Raw genomic sequence first — 25,833 nt, 5'->3', positions numbered from 1 at the left:
ATCCTGTCTCCAAATTACTGATTTTTAGGATTGAGCCCAGTGGTGTGCTGGTGAATGTTCAGCAACTAATTCTCTCAAATAAATAATTGACAGATTTGTGGCATTTGCTGATTTCTTTTGGTTTAAATACTCCCATGGCCAATTTGAAGCCATCAACATACTACTACTAAACTTAGAGATGGGAAGAAATGCACAGTAACACATTTTAAAAATACCATACAGATACAGTAGACATAAATATCCCCAAGAGCATAGTTAATAGTAAAATGTAGCATTTGAGTATTATTTGTGATGGTGTTTGAGTATTTATTATCTTTTTGTATGCACTTCATTTAATTATAAGTTCATATAATTCAATTTTTTTTTTTTTGAGACAGTCTTGTTCTGTCGCCCAGGCTGGAGTGCAGTGGCGCAATCTTGGCTCCCTGCAAGCTCCGCCTCCCAGGTTCACACCGTTCTCCTGCCTCAGCCTCCCAAGTAGCTGGGATTACAGGCATGTGCCACCACACCCGGCTAATTTTTGTATTCTTAGTAGAGATGGGGTTTCGCCATGTTGGCCAGGCTGGTCTCGAACTCCTGACCTCAGGTGATCCGCCGCCCTCGGCCTCCAAAAGTGCTGGGATTACAGGCGTGAGCCACTGCACCCAGCCTATAATTCAACTTTTAATAATGTCTGTTTATCAGCTGGCTCACAAAATTCCTAAAAATTTAACAATTGGCTCCCATGAAATGGCTTCCTACTGACTGTGCAGCTTAACACACCCCTATATGTTCCAGATGGGATCTGACTGTGCTCTACTGGGTCTTTTAGTTACACAAAGGGGAGAAAGCAAAGTTGACTCTTGCTAACTGACCACCAACTCCAACTCCCTCCCCAGCTTTGCAGAACAGCTAAGAATTACACTGAAAGCTTCAGTGTAGCAAATATTACAAGTTAGATGACCCAAGACCCATTCTTGACCATTTTCTCCCTTGGCTACCTCTATTTACCAATATGCCTGAAGAAAAGGCCAGGAGAATTGAACAACTATTAGCCATAGGTTTAGTGGGCTCCCAGACTAAAACCAAACCCACAGATTCCAGATTCCAACATCAGACTTGTGAGGGAAAAAGATTTTTTTTTTTTTTTTTGAGACAGAGTCTTGCTCTGTCATCTGTCATCCAGGCTGGAGTGCAGTGGTACAATCTCAGTTCACTGCACCCTCCTCCTCCCAAGTTCAAGCAATTCTCCTGCCTCAGTCTCCCTGGTAACTGGGATTATAGTCGCACATCAGCACACCGGCTAAATTCTGTATTTTTAGCAGAGACGGGGCTTCACCACGTTGGCCAGGCTGGTCTCAAACTCCTGACCTCAGGTGATCCACCCGCCTCAGCCTCCCAAAGTGCTGGGATTACAGGCGTGAGACACCAGGCCTGGCCGATCTTCTTTCTTTATGCTCTTGTGTTGAGTTTTCTGTTATTTACAGCCAAAGCTATTCCTACCCCATACACACAGGAATTTTACGTCTTGTAGCTTCTATTACCCCAAGAGCTAGAAAGGGAATAAGAGGAAAGGCAACTCATATGCCAAGCATGGTGCTGGGTGGTTTCCAAGCTTCATCCTCTTTAAGTTTCACAACAACTTTATGAGAGATGACATTTCACAAAAATGTGTCATTTATTATGGTTGGTCATAATTTCTGTTCTTAAGGACTATCCCACAGCACTGAAGTTATGTGGACTTTGAAAAATTAATTTCAGCATAAATGTACAAAGGTTTGAACACTTATCCTTCTTCAGCAAATTAAAAATACATCACACAGACATTTCCTTGGGGTAAATTAGACAAGAACTGCATACTGCCAAGCAACCAAGGTTCAGTTAACAACACACTGGAAACACCTTTCCTTTTGTCAAAGTTTGCCTGGGTTTCAAGGAGATTAAGGAAAAGGTTGTCCTCCTCGGGGCTTGGTGGCATCCACTGAGGAGGAGGAGGCAGTGGCACTTTCTTTGGTGTGGGCTGGTCCTCTCTTAGGCAGGCCATAGACCTGTGTTTCCCAGGAGTCTACAACTCTCCCAGCGAGAGTCAGGAGGGAAATGAAGGAGAAAGTACACTTCCAGGGCTCAATCAGCCAGTCCACCAGGAGTTAGAAGTCCCTGAGCCTTCATTGTATATGGACACAGGAGGCTTCCCTGGTATGAGTCAGGAGGACTGGGAAACTACAGAAGGTGGTGAGGGACAAAAGACAAAAGGAGAGTCAGGGTGACAGAAGCCACATCATAGAAACAACAAACCACAGAGAAAACAAACAAAAAAAACATGGACTTTGGAGTCAGACAGATCTGACTTCAAATCTCAGTTCCATCACTTAACTAGCTATGTTCCCTGAGACTACTGTTTTGTCTAAGCTCCTTTCTGGATTTCTGAAAACACATCTCCTATGCCACAAAGAGAGTGTGAGATTGAGTCTAAACCAATCACGGCGTCAGAAGCATTCAAACCAGAGCGACTCCATCTTGAATAGGGGCTGGGTAAAATAAGGCTGAGACCTACTGGGCTGCATTCCAAGGAGGTTAGGCATTCTTAAGTCACAAGATAAGATAAGAGGTCAGCACAAGATACAGATCACAAAGACCCTGCGGATAAAACTGGATTGGGGGGGTGGGGGGCAGGGGAAGACAGCTAAACCCCACCAAAACCAAAGTGGTGACAAAATTCCTCATTGCTCATTATATGCTAATTATAATGCATTAGCATGCTAAAAGACACACGCCAGCATCATGACAGTTTACAAATGCCATGGCAACATCTGGAAGTTACCCTATATGGTCTGAAAGGGAGTAGAACCCTCAGTTCTGGGGTTCTTCCCTTTTCCAGGAAACTCATGAATAATCCACCCCTTGTTTAGCATATAATCAAGAAATAACAGTAAAAATAGCCAACCAGCAGCCCTCAGGGATGCTCTGCCTATGGAATAGCCATTCTTTTGTTTCTTTATTTCCCTAATAAACTTGCTTTCACTTTACTCTATGGACTCACCCTGAATTCGTTCTCAAACCCTCTCTTGGAGTCTGGATCAGGACCCCTTTCGGTTAACAATGGTACCCATTTTCCTCCACAGAGACAGACAGCAGAGGGGCTGGCCTTGCTGGCCAGAGTCCCTCTCCAGGATCTGGTTAAGTGGGGCTGGCAGTAGTCCTTTCGTCTCTAGCTGCAGTGTTACGGAGTGAATCTAAGCTGTGCACAGCCATATCCTCATTCTTGTGAGGACATCTGTCTGTAAAAGGGATGAATAGACTTGACAAAGACAGAAGCACAGATAGGAGAAAGAACGTTGTTGGTTTCAATGTTCCAAGCTTCTCAGTTCCAGGAACTAATAACACTCCTTTCCTTTGAAGCAAGTTTGAGCTCAATTTCTGTCACATGCAACAAGTCCAAAGCCCATCTGTAAAGTAGGAATAGTAATACCTAATCCTAAGATGTTGTGAAGATAAAATAACCTGCAACAAAGAACTCAACAGTTCAGCCTGCTTGTGACTGCTTGGTATCTGCTTTAACAGACACCATGTATTTGTTCATCAAAGTGTCACTATCACCAATGAACACTAATTACACGAGCTGTTACTAGATTTTCTTTGGGAAGAAAATAACGAAGAAATGATTTGAGAAATGCTTAACAAAATCCTTCCTAAGAGACTTTCCAGAGTTTCCAATCTTCAACTCTGCATCATGAATTCCCAACTACACAAAGTAATATGACCACAAAACCCTATGTCAAAGAACATCCGTGAACATCTTGGGAACTGCTCTATGATATATGTGGCTAACTCAGTAGTTGTGCTACGGTAAATATTGCTGCAGTGAGAGTTTGACTTTCTGATGCCTTTCAGTTCCTTTTCTACAGGAGCAAAAGTCTGACAGCTTTTACACCAGCGCTGGCAATTACTATAAGACTTGGAAAAGTCACTTCTACTCCCTGAGCCTCAGTTCCTTTATTTGTAAGATGACAATGTTAGACTCTATGACCTTTTAAGCATCCATGCAACTATGTGTTTCTTTGCTTGTGGGAGTATAGAAGGTTCTGGGAGGATCAACTGTACTGTATGGACATCCTGGGTCTATAAGGGTCAAGAAAAGCCCAGGTGTTGAGTGAGAAAAAGGGAGCAGAAATGGTATACAGCATGAAGGTTCAGAGCAGACACCAGGATCAGCTAAGCTATTTGGAGATTGTATTCCAGTATTCTAATGTAAGTAATCTTTGGATTAACCAAACTTTCTTAAATTGAGGCTTCTTTTGACATCAAATTCTGCGGATTCATACATTTTAGGTTTGAATGGAACAAAATCAAAGCCTTGAAAAACAAAGACTTAATGTGACTGAATGTTTGCTCTATGGGTCCTCAAAGGCCAAGAAAACCTAACAAAAAAAGGTGATGAGGAACAAAGATCATACAACTCAGACCTCTAAACTCCTGAATGTTGTGTTTCTTATGTTCCTATTCAGTTCAAATTTAACCAAGATACCCATAAACTGAACCCTCCTCTCTTCTGCTATCCTGAGCTAACCAGCAGAAAACCTTCATAGGGATGCTTAGTAAGCATGAAGAATAAAGAGTCATAAAATAACGAAGGAAAAGATCCTTTGAAAATTGAAAAACACTCCACAAATATATTATTTTTATTATTATTCATCTGTTTAAAGTGTAATTTTGGCTTAACCACAGACATGACTTCAGGCAAGTAATTCATCAGCTCTGCCCTTCATATAAAACGAATGCAGTAATGGATGGGAAAGATTAACTAGAAAATGATGGTGAACGTCTTTGAAAATTGAAGGTCACTGCGATGCTTATTAATTAATAGTAGCCATTCAATTGTGATGTTATAAATAGCTTTACACTCCAGCAGCACTCAGAGTAACCTGCTACTTTTTCGCTTGTTGCCATTTTGGTTTAGCCCATTCCTCCACTAACCTATAATTAGCACAACACCCTGGAAAATTAATCCAGCCTGGTGACTCAACATCAGGGAAATGAAACAGACTTCTAAATCATGTTAGAATTAAACTGGATCTCAAGGGCTAAGTCCTCATGGTTTCAGAGGGAACTAAAAGCCTCAAACCCTGATTTTTCAGCTAAATATAGGGGAGTCCATCTTTCTAAACAACTGAGTTTCAACATTGCCATCAAGGTACACATATTTCTTATTAGAATTTTCAATCAGTTATAGAATAAGAAAGAGAACTGCAAGCTGTTACATTATGACTACATATTCTCAAATATTCCTTGTAAGAATGTGCTTTGCAGAAGCTAAACCTGCTAATCAAATTAAGATAAACTGCCCCAATCTCCATCTCCTGGCAGAGATTCTGGGGCCAATCTGAGCAGGAGGGTTTTGAGGGGCTGGACTGGCAGAGGAAGTCTTCTGCTAGAAACTATGCAATTGCTGAAATCTGAGCATTCTAAGAGCCCATGGAAAGAGGTATCCAATAGCCAGAAGAGACCACAATGCAGATCAAAAGCAATATGGAAAGCTGGAATATGGAACCAGCTATCCAGGAGCAGGGAGATGAAAATGAGGATCAATGGGGTAAAAATGGATGGTGTGGGCTGGGCGCCTGGTGGCTCACGCCTGTAATCCCAGCACTTTGGAGACCAAGGCGGGTGGATCACCTGAGGTCAAGAGTTCAAGGCCAGCGTGGCCAACATGGTGAACCCTTATCTCTACTAAAAATACAAAATGATCCAGGCAGGCATGGTGGCAGGCGCCTTTAATCCCAGCTACTTGGGAGGCTGAGACAGGAGAATCGCTTGAACCTGGGAGGCAGAGGTTGCAGTGAGCCAAGATCGCACCATTGCATTCCAGCCTGGGTGACAAGAGTGAAACTCCATCTCAAAAAGGACAGTGTGTGCTTGGGGCACTTCTCCCAAAACAAGCTTTGCTTGCTTCACCTGGCATATAGTGTCACGGGTAGGTCAGTATGCTGAGTTAAAGGCTAGGAACTAGGTCATCAGAGAAATAAATAGATCCTTTCACCTTTCTCTTTTTTTGCTAAATTTTTTTCACTTTCTAAATTAAATAGCCCCAGTGTCCTTTCCTTGTAAATGCTTATTAGCTTTGGCTGTTTTGTTTCCAATTGTTTGCATGGGATATGATTGTGGAAGTCTGCAGGCAAACTTTCCTAGTTAAATCTCAACTCATCTAAGGCCAAAGCCATCACCTTTCCTTCTAGTCGAACTCTGACTTCAGAAAATACCACCAGTATTGTTTCAATTACCCAGTCTTAAAATCTAGTAGTCTTCCCTTTCCCTTGATCATCAAATCTAATTACCAGCTCCTGCAGAATTTACCTTACTTCTGCAAGCTGCTTTTCATTCTCATCACCCAGCTGTTTATTTGATCTTTTATATCCAATGCACTAATGCCAGTTTAATCTTCTTAAAGTACAGCTTCAATCATGGTATTCCCTGACTCAAAACATTTAATGGTTGCCTATTGCCTAATGAATCAAGGAAAAGTCCTGGGTTTGGTAGTCAAAACCTTGGTCTTAACTCCCATGTCTCCTCTCTATTTGACAATCCAATATCATGCATTTTTTAATGCTATGGACTATCAGGTATGAATCCAGCTCAACTACTATAAGTAAAATGTATTCCAAAGTGGAGGCAGTGGAACCAATTTGCAGTGCCCAGGAAATAGGTCTGCCTTAGTGATGGGGGCTGAGAACAACTCATTGCTGCTGCTGCTGGAAAAATAGCTAAAAGCTAATGTTGGGTTGTCATTAGATCAGTCAGATTATCAATCACATTATTTCTTAAGTGAAGGACAATACCACATTAAATTTCAAATGACTCTCCATTGAGGAATATACTGTCTTTACTAAGGGACAGGGAAACTTAAGAATTATTTTTCTTCAAGCTTTCTCCATTGACCATACTGACTTTTTTTTTTTTCCCAGCACAGACTCAGAACCTAGATTCCTATAAAAGTAATTGCTCTTGGCCAGACACGGTGGCTCACACCTGTAATCCCAGCACCTTGGGAGGCCAAGGAGCGGGGACAGATCACTTGAGGTCAGAAGTTCGAGACCAGCCTGGCCAACATGGAGAAACCCTGTCTCTACAAAAAATACAAAAATTAGCCAGGCATGGTGGCATGCACCTGTAATCCCAGCTGCTTGGGAGGCTGAGGCAGGGGAATCACTTGAACCCAGGAGGTGGAGGTTGCAGTGAGCCGAGATCACAACACTGCATTCCAGCCTGGGCGACAGTGAATGAGACTCCATCTCAAAAAAAAAAAAAAAAAATAGGTTGGGTGCGGTGGCTCATGCCCGTAATCCCAGCACTTTGGGAGGCCAAGGTGGGCAGATCATGAGGCCAGGAGATCGAGACCATCCTGGCAAACATGGTAAAACCTCATCTCTACTAAAAATACAAAAATTAGGTGGTTGGGGTGGCACGTGCCTATAATCCCAGCTACTTGGGAGGCTGAGGCATGAGAATCACTTGAACCCAGGAGGCGGAGGTTGCAGTGAGCAAAGATCATGCCACTGCACTCCAGCCTGGCAACAGAGCGAGACTCCATCTCAAAAAAAAATGATAAAATGAAGTAAATAATAAAAAATTAAAAAAATAAAACTAATTGCTCTCTTTCCCCAATATTATCGTTTTTCTGTTTTTTTATTTTAAGACAGAGTCTCACTCTGCCGCCCAGGCTGGAGTGCAGTGGCGTAGTCTCAGCGCACTGCAACCTCTGCCTCCCGGGTTCACGCCATTCTCCTACCTCAGCCTCCTGAGTAGCTGGGACTACAGGCGCCTGCCACCATGCCTGGCTAATTTTTTGTATTTTTAGTAGAGATGGGGTTTCACCATGTTAGCCAGGATGGTCTTGATCTCCTGACCTCATAATCCGCCCGCCTCGGCCTACCAAAGTGCTGGGATTACAGGCGTGAGCCACCGTGCCTGGCCACTATGCTTTAAAAGAAAACATTAGCAAGCTGAATCCCAGTACCATATATAATGAATTATACACCTCGACCAAGTGGGATTTACTCCAGGAATGCAAGGTTGGTTTAATATCTGAAAATCAATTAATGCAACACATCATATCAACAGAATTCTTTTAATGACATGATTATCTCAATAGATGAAGAAAAAGCATTTGGAGACAAAGATCCAATACCTTTCATGATAAAAAAATAATAATAAGGAAAAAAAGAACAAAAGAGACCTCTCTCAACTTGATACAGGCATCCATGAAAAACCCACAGCTAACATCATTCTCAATGGTGAAAGACCGGGTATTTTCCCCATAAGATCAGTAGCAAGACATGGATGGCTGCTCTTACCACCTCCATTCTACACTCTACTGGAGGTTCTAGTCAGGGCAATTAGGCAAGAAAAATAAATAAAAGACAACCAGATTGGAAAGATATATTATCTTATATATCATTAATATACAAGATAACAACATGATCTTGCGTATTAAAAATCCTAAGGAATTCACAAAAACTATTATAAATAATAAACAAATTCAGCAAGGTTGCAGGTTACAAAATCAATACATAAAATTCAATTGTATGTTTATACACTTGCAATGAACAATTCAAAAGTGAAATTAAGAGAACAATTCCATTTATAATAGCACCAAAAGGTAAAATATTTAGAAACAAATGTCCTGAAGAAGGACAAGACTTGACCGGGTGTGGTGGCTCATGCCTGTAATCCCAGCACTTTGGGAGGCCAAGGAGGGTAAATCACTTGAGGTCAGGAGTTCGAGACCAGCCTGACCAACACGGTGAAACCCCGCCTCTACTAAAAAAAAAAAAAAAAAATACAAACACCGGGCACAGTGGCTCACACCTGTAATCCTAGTATTTTGGGAGGCTGAGGCGGGCGGATGACCTGAAGTTGGGAGTTCGAGACCAGCCTGAACAATATGGAGAAACCCCACCTCTACTAAAAATACAAAATTAGCCAGGCGTGGTGGCAGGCACCTGTAATCCCAGCTACTCAGGAGGCTAAAGCAGGAGAATCACTTGAACCCTGGAGGCAGAGGTCACAGTGAGCCAAGATCACACCATTGCACTCCAGCCTGGGCAACAAGAGCAAAACTCCATCTCAAAAAAAAAAAAAGTCAGATACTTAATACTTATTACTAAGTATTAGAGAAGATGTGTAGAAATCAAAACCCTCATACACAGCTGGTGGGAATATAAAATTGGAAAACAATTTGGCAGTTCCTCAAAAAATTAAATATAGAATTAACATTTGACCCGCAATCCAAGTCCTAGGTTTATGTCCAAGAGAAATGAAAACATATATCTACACAAAAACTTTTACTTAAATGTTTATAGCATCATTCATAATACCCAAAAGTTGGAAACAACTCAAATGTCCATCATGAATAGATAAACAAAATATCCATATAATGGAATACTATTCAGCCATAAAATGGAATGATGTACTAATGCATGCTACAACATGAATAAATCTTGTAAAGGTATGCTAAGTGAAAGAAGCAGACTCAAAAGATCACATAAGATTCCATTTATATGAATTTTCTAGAGTAGGCAAATCTATAGAGACCAAAAGTAGATTAGTGGTTGCTTATCTCTGGGGGCGTTGGGGGAAACAGGGAAATGGGAGAGTGATAGCTAAAGGCTACAGAGTTTCCTTTTAGGTGATGAAAATGTTCTGAAATTGCCAACAGTGATAGTTGCACATATCTGTGAATGCATTGAAAACTAGAATCGTACATTTTAAATGGGTAAATTGTATGGTATGTAAATTATACATCTCAAGAAAGCTGTTACCAAAAAAAGTCAATACTCAATTAGAGTATTCAAGGTATGAACATTGATGACAATTTTCTGGTTGCCTTTTTTTTTTTTTTTTTTTTTTTTAGAAAAAACAAACATATAGTATATAATGGATATAGATTTGTATCCATCAAAATCCAGTACATTAAATATCATTTTACTTTGCTTTTTCTGAAACTAATTAAAACTCACCTGAACCTTCATTTGCCAAAATATCGAGACATTGAATTACAGTTTTAATTAGGGCTCCCCCACTTACCTTCCAGGAGGATTTATTCAGGTTGCAGGGCTCCTCTGCAATCAAGAGCATCAAGAAGGGCCCACTGGTACATGGTGGGTACTTCCTGATGCTTTTGTCTGCAGAAGAACTGGTTAACTGGTTAATACTGGTTAACAGTGAAAGGACAACAGTCTAAGCTTGCATAGGCTAAAGTACTTTGAGGAAAGGTGGTTCTGGGGCTCCTCTGCCCTGCCCTGCTAGAGACTGAGGGATTTTCTGAGACTAGAAGTCCTGGGACCCAACCAGTCACTTCTCTTTGAGCTCTTTCTACTCCCCTGGCCACTGTGAGCCAGCAATACAGATCAGCTTGCTTAAGACCATCCCTCCTACTGAGAACAACTAGAAAAGCTGGGAAGAATACAGGAAATACCAGTTTGAAGGCACTGGAAAGTTTCTAAGAAAACGTGAACTCAAAGGACCAATCCCAAAGAGAAAGGAAGTACAGAGAGGTGAACCCATCATTTGGTATTGCTTTTCCTTTAATGTTTTTGCTGATTCCTAATCAGCAACTGAGAAGCCCAAAAGCTGAAGAGAGCTTACAGGGCTGAGATGACAAGAATTGGAGATCAGGAGCCATTAAAGAGGAGGTACTCTGGTAAGCACCATAGGATTTCATTTGATATGGTAATATGTTACATAGCTGGCTGCTAGTGAACCAAACCTTCCAGGATTTATGCCTATGGGTGGTCCTCTTCACATTGGTTTCGGGCTTAGCCATATAATTTGTTTTCTTTTGTTTGTGTCTTGAGAGATGGGGGTCTGGCTACATTGCCCAGGCTGGAGTGCAGTATTCACAGGTGTGATCATAGCACACTCCCTCCTCAATCTCCTGGCCTCAAGCAACCCTCCTGTCTCAGCCTCCTGAGTAGGTGAGAGTACAGGTGTACACCACTGCATCTGGCTTATGTGATTTGTTTTTATCAATAGTACATTAGTAAAGGTGAAACAAACAAAGATTAAATATGAACTTGCTCACTGGGACTTGTACTTTTGGATTTCTCCCTGTTAGAATCTAGCCTCCATGCTTAAGTCAAGGTTATCCCAGTGGAGAAATAGGCCATGTGGAGAGGCCCTCGGGGATGGAATATTGTATAGAGATGCCATGTGAAAACTTACTAAAATGCCCCAGCCAAGTGCCCAGCTGAATGCAGCTTTACGAATGATCCCAGCCAATACCAAATGAAGAACTGTTCAGTCGACCCAGATAATTGCCAGAAATCACTATTGTTTTAAGCCACAAATATTGAAGTGGTTTGAGATACAGCAATGAACAACTAAACCAGTTGGGAACCCTAAAGAATCCTACAAGTAAGATGGGCCAAAAATAGACTAGCCCTCACAAAGACTGAGGTCCAGAAACCCACAGAAACCCTCCTAATCCCTGATTGAATTAAGTTGCTTTTTTTTTTTTTTTTTTTGAGGCGGAGTCTTATGTGTTGCCCAAGCTGGAGTGCAGTGGCACGATGTCAGCTCACTGCAACCTCTGCCTCCCAGATTCCGAGTAGCTGGGAATACAGGCGTGCGCCACCACGCCCGGCTGATTTTTGTATTAGAGACAGGGTGTTACCATATTTGCCAGGCTGGTCTCGAACTCCTGACCTTGTGATCCACCCACCTTGGCCTCCCAAAGTTTGCTTATTTTTTATTTTTTATGGCAGTAAGTCTTTATTTTTCATACAGGGTTCCACTGCAGGTAACCATCAGAGAACACCTTGCTATTTTCAAATATACAGACTGAACAAAAGCATTTTAGCATGCTGCCTTACTGTACATAGAAAACTGGTGAACATCTTCAGACACTAAGACCAGGAAATAAAATGGGTTAATGCTATTTGTTGATACGTTTATGAATCACTCAGCAGTGTTAATATAAGCTATCTTTACCTGAAAACAGAATTACAATCACTCACTCTGGCAGCACTGGGCAATTCCAAAATGCAGGTCTAGTGAAAGGTAGGTACAACCAGCAAGCAAGCAAGGATCAGATGCCATGTCTGCTTCTGAAGGGAGTGACTGATTTGGAACCAGGCTCTGCAGATTTTAAGAATTGATGCAGCCATCTTAACAGCTTAATATTGAGTTTCCCCTACTTTGTATGTTGGCAGTCAACAAAAGTGAGAATTTCTGAAACAAGCTAAACAGGATTAAAAAGCAAAACACTGTCCATGTAACAACGGAATTGCTGCTTCACAACTTTTGCCCAGTTCTCACCTGTTGTCCTACAAAAACCTCTCATCTGATAAGTTTTTGTGAAAATCTCTAGCAACCATAACAGACTTTTCTCAACCCAGCTCTAGATACTAAGTATCAGAAACAAGGCTTGTGAAGTGGATGTGTCCACAGGAAAATGCAGTGTTTCTACTGGAGGTAAGTGTCAAGCTTCCTCTTGATGTTGTCAAAGGAATCTGCTCCCATATAATCGGTCTAGCCCTGTTCCCACCGCTCCTTCCATTCTTCTGAGGATACACAGACTGTGCCATAGCTGGGATCCCCCCAAGGGACAGATGTGATATGGCTCCTGAGACATTTTCCACATTTACGTATGAGAAGGTGTCTTTGACAAGGCCAAATTGTTGAAGCAGAGGTAAAACGGTGGTGGTAAAGATGTTCCACCATAGGATGAGAAACTCTGGATGAGTCACGTTGGGATGGTGGGACTCATTTTTGACACTTTTTGTTTTGGGATCATAAGTATAATTCCATGGTTTGACTTGTCCCAGGAAATGCACAACTTTGGCACTTGCACCAAACACTTTAAATGCTGGGAGGTAGGACTATATAGAGATGCAGCTTAGGCTATAAATAAATGGCAGGTGTTTTCTGATATCTGTTGTTGCCCAGCTGCGAAAAAATGTGTTCCGTATGCCTTGTTCTCCACCATCAAAACTACCTTGCTCAGAAGCAAGATGCAACAGCTGATTATATGTTTCAACTGAAGGCTGATAAATTCAGAATTGAAGCAGTCAGGCCACCCTGGGTCAGGTGCTGCTGACAATTCTTCTGTCTCAAAAAGATCATCAATATTTGCTAGGACCAGAGTATCTGCACCCATGAATACACATTTTGAATACTATGTAAGTGACCAGCAGTGGAGCTTTGTCAGCCTGACACCCAACTCTGGCCTCTTCATTAAGGTTAGATGAGCAGAATCACCACTGTCCAAGACATCTACCACGATGATTTCATCAAAGACTGTCTCTAAAACTTTTCTCATGGAGTCTGAGACCTGCGGGGTGGCGAGCATGACTAGTCTTCTGGTGGTCCTGTGCTGTTTCAGAGATGAGCCCAGGACCAGGGCACCTTTGGTGTAGGCATCATTTGTGGTCAGTGTCACAAAGACCTGATCTGTCATGGTGCTGCCAGAGGCGCAGGTGGGCCAGGGCAGCCGCAGGTTGGTGGCTCAGAGAAGCTGGTGCCTGGAAGGAGCGTGGCCAGTGAGGAGGCACAGCAGGACTTAAGTTGCTTATTATATGTATTCCCAACCGCTTGTTGAAACTAAAGTGAATCCTCCCTTAAATAACATATCAACTAGAACCTCAGGTCATCTCTATAGTTTTTAAAACACAATTTTCCATTTCAAAAAACTATGCTGATAAAAATATAAGAAGTGACTGATAATCAAGAGAAAAAATCAGACAATAGAAACAGACCCACAAGAGATCCAGGTATGGAAGTTATCAGACACAAACTATAAAACAGTTGTGATTAATATGTTCGAGAAATTAAATGACAAGATAGTTTCAGCACAGATGTGGAACTCATAAAAAATTGAAGTGAATTTATAGAAATATATACAATAACTAAAATTAAGAACACAATAAGTAGACTTAACAGCAGATTAGGCCAGGCGCGGTGGCTCACATCTGTAATTCCAGCACTTTGGGAGGCCAAGGCGGGCGGATCATGAGGTTAGGAGATCAAGACCATCCTGGCTAACACGGTGAAACCCCGTCTCTACTAAAAATACAAAAAATTAGCCAGGTGTGGTGGCAGGCACCTGTAGCCCCAGCTACTCGGGAGGCTGAGGCAGGAGAATGGCATGAACCCAGGAGGCGGAGGTTGCAGTGAGCCAAGATCACGCCATTGCACTCCAGCCTGGGTGACAGGGCAAGACTCCATCTCAAAAACAAAAACAAAAACAAAAACAAAAAAAAAACAGAAGATTAGATATAGCTGAGGGAGAATCTGTGAATGAGAAGAGAGGCAGAAGAACATATTGAGATTAGCATGAAGAGACAGAAGAATATAACACTTTAGGAGGCCAAGGCAGGAGGATCACTTGAGCCCAGGAGATTTGGGACCAGCCTGGACAACATAGTGAGACCCTGTCTCTACAAAAAAAATTTTACAAATTAGCCAGGCAGGTAGCTCATGTCTCTATTCCCAACTACTTGGGAGGCTGAGGTGACAGGATTGTTTGAGCCCAGGAGATTGAGGCTGCAGAGAACTAGGATCACACCACTGCACTCCAGCCTGGGCAACAGTGTGAAACCCTGTCTCAAAAAAAAATTATAAAATAAAAAAACAAACATAGGAGACAAATGTGATTTGGTGAAAAGGTCTCACATTTATGTAATTAATGTCCCAGAAGGAGAAGAGAGCGACAATGAAACAAAAGCAATAGATGAAGAAATAATGACCAAGAATTTTCCAAGCTAATGAAAGACCTCAAAACACATATTCAACAAATTCTACAAACTCCATTAAGATAAATATAAAGAAAGCCACATCTAGACATATCACACTAAAACTGCTTCAAGGCAAGACAAAAGACAAAAATTGTACACTGCATAAGAAAACAAAACTCAACTTTTCATTCAACTTTTCATTCCAAAGTGGTTACCTAGGAAGGCTAATTGGTTTTGTCTCCTTACTGGGTTCTCCACCTTCACTTTTCCTCCCTTCTAAACCATTCTCCAAACTGCAGTTAGGTTGATCTTTCTACAGTTTAAGTAGCATCACTTCCGTCCTCTGCATAAATGTTACTGTGACTTCTCATTCCCTCAGAATAAAGTTCAATTTCCTTATTACAGTTTGAGCGGCCCTCTTGGAACTGGTGTCTGTCCACCTTCCTAGCTTCTTTTCTCACTACTACATGTTGAGTATCTCTCATCTGAAATGTTTGGGACCACAAGTTTTTCAGATTTTGGACATTTTTGGATTTTGGAATATTTGAGTATACAGAATGAGATACCTTAGGAATGAGACCCAAGTATAAACACAAAAGTCATTTGTTTTATACAAATCTTATTTTTATTTATTTACTTATTTATTTCTTAGACAGAGTCTCACTCTGTCGCCCAGGATGGAGTGCAGTGGCGTGATCTTGGCTCACTGCAACCTCCGCCTTCCAGGTTCAAGCGATTCTCCTGCCTCAGCCTCTCGAGTAGCTGGGACTACAGGTGCGTGCCACCATGTTGGCTAATTTTTTTTTGGTATTTTTAGTAGAGACGGGGTTTCACCATGTTAGCCAGGATGGTCTTGATCTGCTGACCTTGTGATCCACCTGTCTTGGCCTCCCAAAGTGCTGGGATTACAGGCATGAGCCACTGCGCCCAGCCTTTAAACACACCTTATACACCTAAGCTGAAGATAATTGTATTGACTGATTGATTGATTGATTGATTGAGACGGAGTCTCCCTCTGTCGCCCAGGCTGGAGTACAGTGGAGCAATCTCAGCTCACTGCAACCTTCACCTCCTGGGTTCAAGCAATTATCCTGCCTCAGCTCCCGTGTAGCTGAGCTCACAAGTGTATGCCACCACGCCCAGCTAATTTTTTTTTTTTCAGATGGAGTTTCACTCTTGTTGCTCAGGCTGGAGTGCAATGGTGCAATCTTAGCTCACTGCAACTTCCATCTCCTGGGTTCAAGCGATTCTCCTACCTCAGCCTCCCAAATAGCTGGGATTACAGGCGCCCACCACCATGCCTGGCTAATTTTTTGTATTTTTAGCAGAGACAAGGTTTCACCATACTGGCCAGGGTTGTCTCGAAGTCCTGACCTCAGGTGATCTGCCTGCCTTGGCCTTTCAAACTGCTGGAATTACAGGTGTGAGCTATCACTCCCTGCCTGAAGATAATTTTATACTAGGTCGATGCAAAAGTAATTGAAGTTTTTGCCATTGCTTTTAAAGGCAAAACCTCAATTACTTTTGCACCGACCTAATACAAATTTTTAATTTTATGCATGAAACAAAGTTTGTATACATTGAACCATCAGAAAGCAGAGGTGTCACCATGTGAGCTACTGATATGGACAATCTGTGATTGTCTGGCATCATCATCATTCCTGTCTCTGAATATATATGCTACCCATAAGCAATTTTTTTCTTATACCATTCACACTTAAGTACTTAACAGTAAAAAGTATGGCATACCCTTAATACAGTGAAAAAATAATGTGTTCAGGGTACCTAAATAGGGCAGTATCATCCCCAGAATACCTATATTAGCTGTTAAACAACAACAATAACAAACAATGGCAGGCTTTCAGTTTCTACCCATGTTTTGTCTGCAATCCATCACATGAAGTCAAGTGCAGAGTTCTCCACTTGTGGCATCACGTCACCACTCAAGTTTTCAAATTTTGGGGGCTGGGCATGGTGGCTCACACCTGTAATCTCAGCATTTTGGTAGGCCAAGGGAGGCAGATCACTTGAGGTCAGGAGCTTGAGACCAGCCTGGCCAACATGGTGAAACCTCGCCTCTACTAAAAATACAAAAATTAGTTGGACATGGTGGCAGATGCCTGTAATCCCAGCTACTCAGGAGGCTGAGACAGGAGAATTGCTTGAACCTGCAGCAGAGGTTGCAGTGAGCCGAGATGGTGCCACTGCACTCCAGCCTGGGTGACAGAGTGAGACTCTGTCTCCAAAAAAAAAAAAAAAAAAAATTCAAATTTTGGGCTGGGTGCAGTGGCTCACACATGCCTGTTATCCCAGCACTTTGGGAGGCCGAGGTGAGAAGATCACTTGAGCTCAGGAGTTTGAGACCAGCCTGAGCAACATGGTGAAACCCCATCTCTTAATAAGAAGACAAAAAAGAATAAGAAAATACTTTTTTTTTTCAGATTTTGGAGCATTTCAGATTTCAGGTTAGGAATGCTCAATCCATATCTCTCTAGAATTCTATACTCCACTGGCTTTTAATTCCTCCAAATTGCTTTATTCTCACCCACAACAGGACCTTTGCACATGTTGTTCCCGTTCTTTGGAACTTTCTCCCTTCATTTCATATTCCTTTTCCTGGCTTTCCAACCTTACGTCAGATTATAGTTTGAACGTCGTCTTCTCTGGGAAAATTTTCAGTTTTCCTAGACTTGGTAATTACCCCCACAGAGGGCAGAAATTTGCCCCTTATATCCTGAAATTCCCCCATCAAAGCGTCTATCATGCTTTATGACTATTATTTGTCTATTTCCCTTTATTATAGACAGTAAGATCCAAAGGGGTAGAAATTGTGTAATGTTTTTCTCACAATTGTCTCCCTAGTCCTCAGCCTGGCTCAAAGTAGATATTCAATCTATAATTTGAAAACTTACTTATTAACAGTAGAAAACCCTCAGTCTTCAAGATAGTTCATCATACCTTACTTCTCTATGTAGCTATTTTTTTCTTTTCCTTTAGAACCTTTCTAGAGAAAGATGTATGGGAATTGAATGTAATTTAAATTTTTAAAAATCCTCTCAACATTTTCTAGATTTTACTGCAATAAAAATAAAAATGTAAATGAAAAGTATGAATATTCATATCATAGGCCCCACCCCTGCTATCCCAATTCCACAGTTTAAAGTACTCACTTGCTTTCTTCCATGCAAAAAAGTATGATTATACTACTCGCATCCTCAAATGACACTCTGCCTTTTCAGTCACTCCAGGATCCGGTTCCAAAATGGACTTCCTTGTTTTTTGTGGCCTTTTGTGGCTCCTTTCCAGTTTTTATCACAGACTTTGTTTTTCTCTGCTTCCTTCTCTGCTTCCTCTTCTCAGCTAAGCACAGCTTCCTCTGTCATGTTCTATAAACCTGCCACCGTTGATGAGTCTTTTAACGTGCCATCTGATTCAGTCGGCTCTTTCATGACCTTTTAGGTTCTACCTCAAATTTTAGTGGCAAACAATTTTTTTGTTACTTGTTACTTCCTCTCTCCTTGTAATTCATTTCTTAGTAATTAACTCTTCAAACACAGGGCAGAATTGAATGCCCTCACTTTGCCATCATCTAATTTTTGTCTGTGCGAAGAATAGTACCTGGCACCCAGTAAATAGAATCATTTTTATTCTATTTATTAAATTTATTAAATATATTATTTATTGAATAATTATTTATTTATTGAATAAATTTATTCAATTTGTTGAATAAATTCCTCAGCATGTACCTTATGACAGCCTGCTTACATCAGTTTAGATTGCTTTGTTCTTCATATGTCACAGATAAACATTTAAAACTTCATTGTGTACCTGGAAGTTGATACTTAATAAAAATTTTATTTCAATATGTACATTGTGACCCAAACCAATTATAGGCATTCCTTCTTGTCATTGTTGTTCAGAAGTGTGAGGTTTCCTTTTGTTACTTTTAATTAAAAAATTGAGACTTTATTTGCTTTGGATATGAGGCCTAGGCTTTATAATGTCGCCTTTAATGGAAACAACAAATACAGTAACTTCATTTAAAAGTAAACAATAGTGACAAATTCACCCTGTAAATCAAATTGCTGGTATTTATAAACACAGGTGGCAAGTTACTAGGTACGAAGGGTTCGTGGTCCAGGGGAAAATATGCCAGCAGAGTGCAGAGACAATGTCTAGGTACCGGCCCTAATTTAATATTTGGTGTATGTAAAGATCTTCGTGAGTGCTGGGCTGGCAACAGCAGGGGTTTGATGGGATGAAAAAGTAAGGTTAGCTGGATTTCAGGTTCAGGAAGAAACCAGGATGAGGACATTAGAAGATGAACTCAGCAAGTATGTAGGAATAGGCATAGGAGATGAACTCAGCAAGAATGAAGGGATATCCGAATCTTGGGAAAGGGTGGGAAAATAACCTAGAGAACTATGGATTGAAGGAAATTGAAGAGGAAAAATAGCAAGGACTTAGGCCCAGGACGGCTTTGAATGCGGCTCAGCACAAATTCGTAAACTTCTTAAAACATGATGAGATTTTTTAAAAGTTTCATCAGCTACCATTAGCGTTAGAATATTTTATATGTGGTCCAAGACAATTTTTCTCCTTCCAATGTAGCCCAGGGAAGCCAAAAGATTGGACACCCTTGGCTTAGATGGTGGAGTCAAGGGAACTAAAGATATGACCCCAGTGTGCCAATGCCAAAGGTGAGAAGAGAAAGCAAAGAAAGCAGGCCTTTAAAGAGGTAGAGGAATCCTCAAAGGTGGAAAGAAACAGGGATAGGATGCTGCCCAAGAGGCAGGGACAAAGAATCGGAGCCAAAGACTGCGGTAAAAATGTGGGAAGGTGATGTCCACGATGTTCGAACGAGTCCGTGGCCGAAGGAAGTAAGAGTCTGGGTTTCTGGAGGTTTTCATACAGAGAACTGGGATTTAGATTTCGGGCTGGAAAAATATATTTTGGACTCTCAGGGGCTTTCAGGGTAAGAGTTCGGTAGAGTTCAGTCAGCTTGGCGGAGACAGGTAGTCAGTTAATGTTGGAAGGAAAATTCGGACAGCTGGGAATTAATTTCAACGGGTTTAGGGTGATTTCGGCAAGGGCTGGCGGGGCTAGGGTCGAGTGTGAATTTCGTCTTGGGTGGTCCACGCGTCTGGTTTGGGCAGGAATTTCTGTGGGCAGCGAGGCGTATTCAGGCAGCGTTGCGGGTGAATCTGCGTGGGATGAGGGTGGATTTCCTTCAGGACTGCGGTGCATTTCAGGCCGGGGTGGAGGTGCCTCACAGCCGCGGCGCAGGGAATTCCCTCTAGGATGGGGGAGCGGGTCGGGCGGCGCCGGCCAGGGAGGGGAAGTCCAACGGGGGTTCGGAGAGGCTCGGGGGACTCGGACGGAGAGAAGCCGGGTCGCGGCTGCGGAGGCTCGGCCGGCCAAGGGATTTCCGCGACGTTCAGCGCTGCGAGCTGCGCGGCGCTGCGGCCCCTCCCGTCCCGGGGGAACCTGTTGCCGGCGAAACAGGCGGGCGGTGGCGACGATGGAGAAGCCTTCCTCGCCTCTGCCTGGCTGCACGGCAGCCCTTTCACCTTAGGCACGCTCCGCGGCGCGGCCCCTCCCTCCGCTCCTTCGTTTAAAACAAACAGAATACGCCGCCGCCAACCCTAGCCTGCCAACGGCGAGCACGGTCGCCTCCCGTGCCGCTTCCGGGAGCCGAGGCGCGGCCCCGCCGCCCGGGGAGGAGGAGGCGGAGGGGGAGGAGGCCAACATGGCGGCGCGCAGGGCTGGGCCGGGCCGCAGCCGCGCCTGAGCGCCTCACCGCACTAGCTCGGCTCGCAGGACCCAAGCCCGCACCCAGCCTGGCCCGGCTGCTGCGGAGCACCCGGGGCAGGAACGCAGGGGCCAACCTGGGCGCGGAGGCGGCGCGGAGGGTGCGCCGCGCGGCCCGCCAGGCCCGGGACCCGTAGCTTCGCCGTGCGCTGGCCGGGGCGGCCAGGAGGCCCAAGCCATGGAATCGGAGGAGGAGCAGCACATGACCACGCTGCTGTGCATGGGCTTCTCAGACCCCGCCACCATCCGCAAGGCCCTGCGCCTGGCCAAGAACGACATTAACGAGGCCGTGGCACTGCTCACCAACGAGCGGCCGGGCCTCGACTACGGCGGCTACGAGCCCATGGACAGCGGCGGTGGCCCCAGCCCCGGGCCCGGCGGGGGCCCGCGGGGCGACGGCGGAGGTGACGGCGGCGGCGGCGGCCCCTCCCGCGGCGGGAGCACCGGAGGCGGGGGCGGCTTCGACCCCCCGCCCGCCTACCACGAGGTGGTGGACGCGGAGGTGAGGAGGGGCAACCCCAGACCTCTGTGGGAAGCCACTGGGCTGGAGTTCCTGGGAGGGGACACACCCCGCTGGGCTTGGTGTGGGGAGAGAGGGCATTCGACTGGGGCTTTAGTGGGGGCGGGGCGGAGAGAGAGAGAGAAGCCCCAGGCTCCAGTTGGGAACCGAAGTCACTTGATTGGGGGTAAGTGGGGAGAGGGACCCATAGGAGAGGCGTGTGAAAGGGAATTAGGGATGCGCAGCGGAGCTGTGGGTTGGGGTGAGGAGGGGTCCCTTAGGCTTCCGGCTATGCACGCCGACGATGGGGAGGAGGCTCCAGGGCTATCATCCGAGATGGGAGGACAGACACTTGAGCATATAGTGGGAAGGATGCGTGCAGTAGGGGGTCGGAAATGGGGTACTAGTGCACTAGGCTAGGTCGGAGATTTTGTGGCACGAGGTTTCAGTGAAGGATTGGCGGAGGCACCAGGCTCAGAGTCAGAAAAAGCGGTGTGGGCCGGCCAGAGTAGTGGTCTTTGACAGGATCACAGGAAAACTGTTGGGGTTAGGAGTGAGGTTGGGGTTTTAGCCAAGGGTCGGAAAGGGGGGGCATTGAGTAGGATTTAAAATGAAGAGGGAAGGGGCCGCGGCCAGGAATGAGGACTTGAATAAAATCAGGTATGAGAGCAGTGGGGATTGCACTGAGAGGGCAGAGGTGGGAGGCCTGGGCAGGGGTGGGAGCTGAGGAGGGTCTAGGCAGGGATGGGGACTGGAATTGGAAGATAGAGCTGGCACCAGGTCTGGGTAAAGAGGGAGTACTGGTCATCGATAAGGTCAGAAATGAGAGAAAATTAGACCGGGGAAAGAGATGGTAGTCATACTGAGGGTGCTATGCAGAGGGGCGCGGAACAGGGTGGGAGCGCAGTGGGGGTGGAGGAGGAGTCTTGAGGCTAATGGCTTTGATCAGAGACCTCAAGTCTAGGTGGAGAAGACTATGCCTGTTTAGTTTGGGGTGTGAGCAAGGAACGTGGGGGAAGAAAACGGACTCTTCTATAATAAAGAAAAAAGATCGACCAGAAGCAGCAGTGCTTTTGAATAATTACTTTGCAGAAACATAGTAGCTCATGGCAGGAATTTTGGTCAGATTCGTTGGGTAGTTCATTTCAGGGGCCAGTAGAGCAGCTTGGCCTGACCACAGAAAAGCACAGATCTCAAATTATTGGGATTGCGTTATTAGGTAGAGATACGAATTTGGTTCGTTCTTAATGAAGAATTAAGCTTAGTGAAGCTAAGCCTTTTGAAACACTTTTTCCTGAGCAGTGTTATATCCTTTTAATTGTATGCTTTTGCAACAGTTCCTCGGGCTGAAGTAGCTTGAACAAGAAGGTGGCACTTAAAAAGAACAGGTTTCTGCACAAGATTTCTTTGGCTTCCACACTTAGACACAGTTGCTAGATTGCCCTCTGTAACCCACTAACTTAGCTGTATCGTTGACTAGTATATGGAAATAAAGATTGTTACTATTCCTAGTTTGGGAATTTTTTTAAATTCCCATATAATTGAGTAACCATACTTAAGTCATTTTAAGAAATCAGCTTCTCATTGGCAGTTCCTATCACTCCTCCCTCGTTCCTTCTAGTTTTTGACCCAGTTTTGAAATCAAGAAGAAAGCCGTTGCTTTTTCAGAAGGTGTTTGTATAACTCTGCAAAGCTCAGTGTATCCTCATTATGTGAGAAATGTGATTCTTTTTTTCTTTTGTCATACCTTTTAATTTCCTGTGATTGGAAAATCAATTTAAATTACAATGCTTGGTGCATTCATGTTAACATTAGCGCTAACCTTAGCTTACTGCCAGTACATGTAAGTACAAAGAATTGGGAGTGGCTTCTTACGTGAATGGCAGGCTAAGGAGTTTGGTTTGCGGTAAATTAAAATCCATAAAATCTCCATCTTTTCGAAGCAGTGCATCAAGTCCTCATTTCTCCTAGACCTGTGGATTTGGCCTGGGGGAGGGAAGCTGCACCGTTTACTTTTAAGAGTTCAAGAGGAGCTGGTGACTGAGGCTGCTTTACCCACGAAGCGTATTGGCAGAGGTTGGCAGGCTGAGACTTTCCTGACACACAGGAGCCTTTTGGAAACATTTAACGCAGAATGTGCCTCTGTGGTTTAATAATCTTAATGCATGCCACCTATGGAACTTCTTGGTCATCCTTGGTGTACACAGTGGGAAACTGAGGCTCTTGATCTTGGGAAATAGGGAAAGGTAATAAATATTATCCAGCATCTACAGGGTGTCAGGCCCTGTCTTAGGTGCGTTATACAGTTTATTTAACCCTTGGTGAGAGAGTTAACGTAGGCTTTTTAGGGATATGATTATGTAGTGGGTGGCAGGGGCTGAATTTGAACCCAGGTCTCTTTGACTTCAAAGCCAGTGTGCTTTTCACTCTGCTCAACTCATGGTTTTAGGATTAAATTTGTTTGGTAACAGTATGGATAGTAAGGAGAAATAATGAGGGAAAGACATATTTTAAGGCTACTGTGCAATGATGTGGTGAGCACCAACCATTAAGAATCGAATAATGGGTAGAATATAAGGTGAATCAGATTTTTTAAAAAGAAGCATACTTTAGAAATTAATAATTAGTGCAGCTCCCTTGTTTAACAGATGCACCCTTTCGGGCCCCAAAGGGGAAGTGGCTTGTCCCCACAGAGTCAGTTAATAGAAGAGGTGGGGCTAGTACTCAGGCCCTTTTGCTTGAAGTCCTGCACTCTTTCGGGCTCTCTTTCAAAGGAAAAAGGAATGGGACACAGTAATGGGTTAAAGGGAAGGAAGAAGAGTAAAAAAACTGGGTGAAGATTGTCAGCTATTATATAGTTAATCCTTTTTATTTCTAAAAACTGAGTACCTTATTTTAAATTATATACATTTCTATTTGCTGCACAGGACATTTCAGTGTCATTGTCTTCTTTAAAAATGGGAAAAACAGAATAAAATCTAATTGATTAGAAAAGAAAGAAATGACTTAAGTTTTTTTATATTTGTAGTTTGGGGATAGCAATGGTTTTCTCTTAATGCCTTCCTGTCCCAGGGGCAGGGAGTAGAGTGTTGAACAGAACGTGGTGTTTACATTCTAGTGGGTCTTAGTCCAAGCCTCTCATTTTACAAGAAAAGACTGTCCAAGGTCATGTAGCTAGTTAGGTAAATCAGTTTGAGGCCCTGCTGTAATTAGGGTTTGGTTTAAAAATTAATATTTGAACAGTGAAAGCTGTTAACTTCCGGTTCAGTAGAAGCAAGGAGAATGCAGATAAAAAAGACCCAGATATCTAGCAAAACACACAACTGCATAGAAAGCCACCTTGTTAATATCCTCCAATTAAGTAAAGATAGTGTTTTGCAGAAGAGATGTGTTTGGTTCTCACTAGTATTGTTGGATGTAAATGTTCTTGGTCTCTGGGTCTGGAAGGGACTTTGAGAAGCTGTCCAGTTTTGATTTTGAATAGCATTACTTCAAAATCATTCCACGGCACATAAGAGTCTGTTCTATTATTAAAGAGAGTGAGCTCTCACAGCTGCTCTAAATAACTTATTCTGATTTTTAACCACCCCCCTGTCAGAATTCTTCACTCTTTACTGCATGGCTAATGTAAACTCTGGCCTGCCAAGTGCGTACCAATTGGTTCTGTTCTCTACACAACAGGAAGAGTTGGGCCTTTGTAATCTCTCCAGGGGATCAGTAGAAATCTGAACCAGGTATCCTGTGCATCTCACAGAACTTAACAATTATGAAATGTACCTTATCCATAAGGAATACCATCAAACATTAATACTATAATGAATACCTTATTCATTAAGTTTGTCTTTAGAAAATACTAAAATGGAAGTTTTTGGAAGGAGATTTCATATTAACTGAGGAAATACCTTTCTTAGCTGTCTAGTGCTGTTAATTAATATTCCCAGAAGTGACATTTAATACTGTGATCTGATAAACATTGTGAACTCCTTGTTTTGTTCCTGTTTTAATGTGGATGTTCTTTCTGGAGGTATTGTTTTGTCAGGAGTACTTTCAAGATTTCATTGCTTTTTTGTTTTTTTAAGTTTAGAGCCCCAAAGTTGGTCCTGCTGTTAATATATCTAAGTCACATAAAAATAAGAAGCATATTAATTTGTAGTTCCTTAACTTACCTCATTCCTATTTCTCTTGTTCCCCTTTGGTAGTAAGTGGTAATTATAAATGGATTAAAATTGTAATACTGTCAATGTGTATAATTAAGGTTTATGGTAAAATTCATGTTATTCTTTTCCTAAAATACAACAACCCTAGTATGAGTGTGGAGTAAATATCAAATGAGTAGCTTTTAGTTAACTATTAGTGATTTGGTACATGACCTGTGGTTTATGAATTACTGTGATTTGGTAAATAAAAAAAGGCCCTTTAAAGGCTTTAGAGTAAAAAAATGAAATAATTTCCCAAATCAGTTGAAAGTAGATGAAATAAAAATAGGGAATTAAAGATGAATCAGCATGGCCTAATTTTTAAATAAGAATTTCTTTCTGATCCAGTATATGTATATATATCTCCTTTGGGAATTAGGTCTGTGAGTTAATCTAATGGTTGGAGTCTCACCTTGTAATTACCTGCCCATTCACTTTTAGAATGAATGTAATTTGGCATGAAGAGAGTACCTTTCGTGTGTCTGTGAGTGTGGTTTTAGTGAAATCATAGTAGGTTGTGACAGCTTTATACAGCATAATAATATTGTTAGCTTAAATTTTGAAAACAATTTCAATGTTAGAAAAGCAAATGTTGTAATGTTTTAGCAATTTGAGGAAA

At 42.9% G+C, this 25,833-nt stretch overlaps 1 protein-coding gene, 2 long non-coding RNA genes, 1 other non-coding gene and 1 pseudogene across 13 annotated transcripts in view, besides 3 other annotated features; 1 reads left to right on the top strand and 4 right to left on the bottom strand.

Moving 5' to 3' along the window:
- Nucleotides 1-1,633: 1,633 nt before the first annotated feature.
- On the bottom strand, nt 1,634-17,950 carry MIR4422HG (MIR4422 host gene). Its single transcript, NR_146283.1, has 2 exons — nt 17,879-17,950; nt 1,634-2,199 (listed from the first exon to the last, which is right to left on the bottom strand). It is a non-coding gene; the product is annotated as an MIR4422 host gene (long non-coding RNA).
- On the bottom strand, nt 10,088-10,170 carry MIR4422 (microRNA 4422). The gene has a single exon (NR_039618.1). It is a non-coding gene; the product is annotated as a microRNA 4422 (primary transcript).
- On the bottom strand, nt 11,735-13,532 carry GYG1P3 (glycogenin 1 pseudogene 3; annotated as a pseudogene).
- Nucleotides 17,951-18,355: 405 nt separating the features above from the next.
- On the bottom strand, nt 18,356-20,403 carry LOC100507634 (uncharacterized). Its single transcript, NR_038320.1, has one exon. It is a non-coding gene; the product is annotated as an uncharacterized LOC100507634 (long non-coding RNA).
- Nucleotides 20,270-20,779: a silencer, noted in NCBI's record as "silent region_929". NCBI's record gives its function as "represses an Ori minimal core promoter by ATAC-STARR-seq in GM12878 lymphoblastoid cells {active_cell/tissue: GM12878}" and the evidence as "EXISTENCE:reporter gene assay evidence [ECO:0000049][PMID:35858748]".
- The window catches only part of USP24 (ubiquitin specific peptidase 24), a 149,006-nt gene continuing 143,619 nt past the window's right edge, over nt 20,447-25,833 (top strand). For all 10 annotated transcript variants that reach the window (XR_001737080.2, XM_047416524.1, XM_017000832.2 and 7 more), the window contains exon 1: nt 20,447-21,021. Coding sequence is in view for 9 of the 10 variants with exons in the window: in XM_047416524.1 (XP_047272480.1) it covers nt 20,698-21,021 (324 nt within the window). In the remaining variant the exon portion in view is untranslated. The remainder of the gene's footprint in view (nt 21,022-25,833) is intronic.
- Nucleotides 20,850-21,039: a silencer, noted in NCBI's record as "silent region_928". NCBI's record gives its function as "represses an Ori minimal core promoter by ATAC-STARR-seq in GM12878 lymphoblastoid cells {active_cell/tissue: GM12878}" and the evidence as "EXISTENCE:reporter gene assay evidence [ECO:0000049][PMID:35858748]".
- Nucleotides 21,500-21,559: an enhancer, noted in NCBI's record as "active region_1071". NCBI's record gives its function as "activates an Ori minimal core promoter by ATAC-STARR-seq in GM12878 lymphoblastoid cells {active_cell/tissue: GM12878}" and the evidence as "EXISTENCE:reporter gene assay evidence [ECO:0000049][PMID:35858748]".

The sequence above is a fragment of the Homo sapiens genome, chromosome 1 (assembly GCF_000001405.40).
Source record: "Homo sapiens chromosome 1, GRCh38.p14 Primary Assembly".
Taxonomy (NCBI): domain Eukaryota; kingdom Metazoa; phylum Chordata; class Mammalia; order Primates; family Hominidae; genus Homo; species Homo sapiens.
The sequence above is the reverse complement of the archived record's forward strand: the minus strand, read 5'-3'. Positions and strand labels throughout refer to the sequence as shown.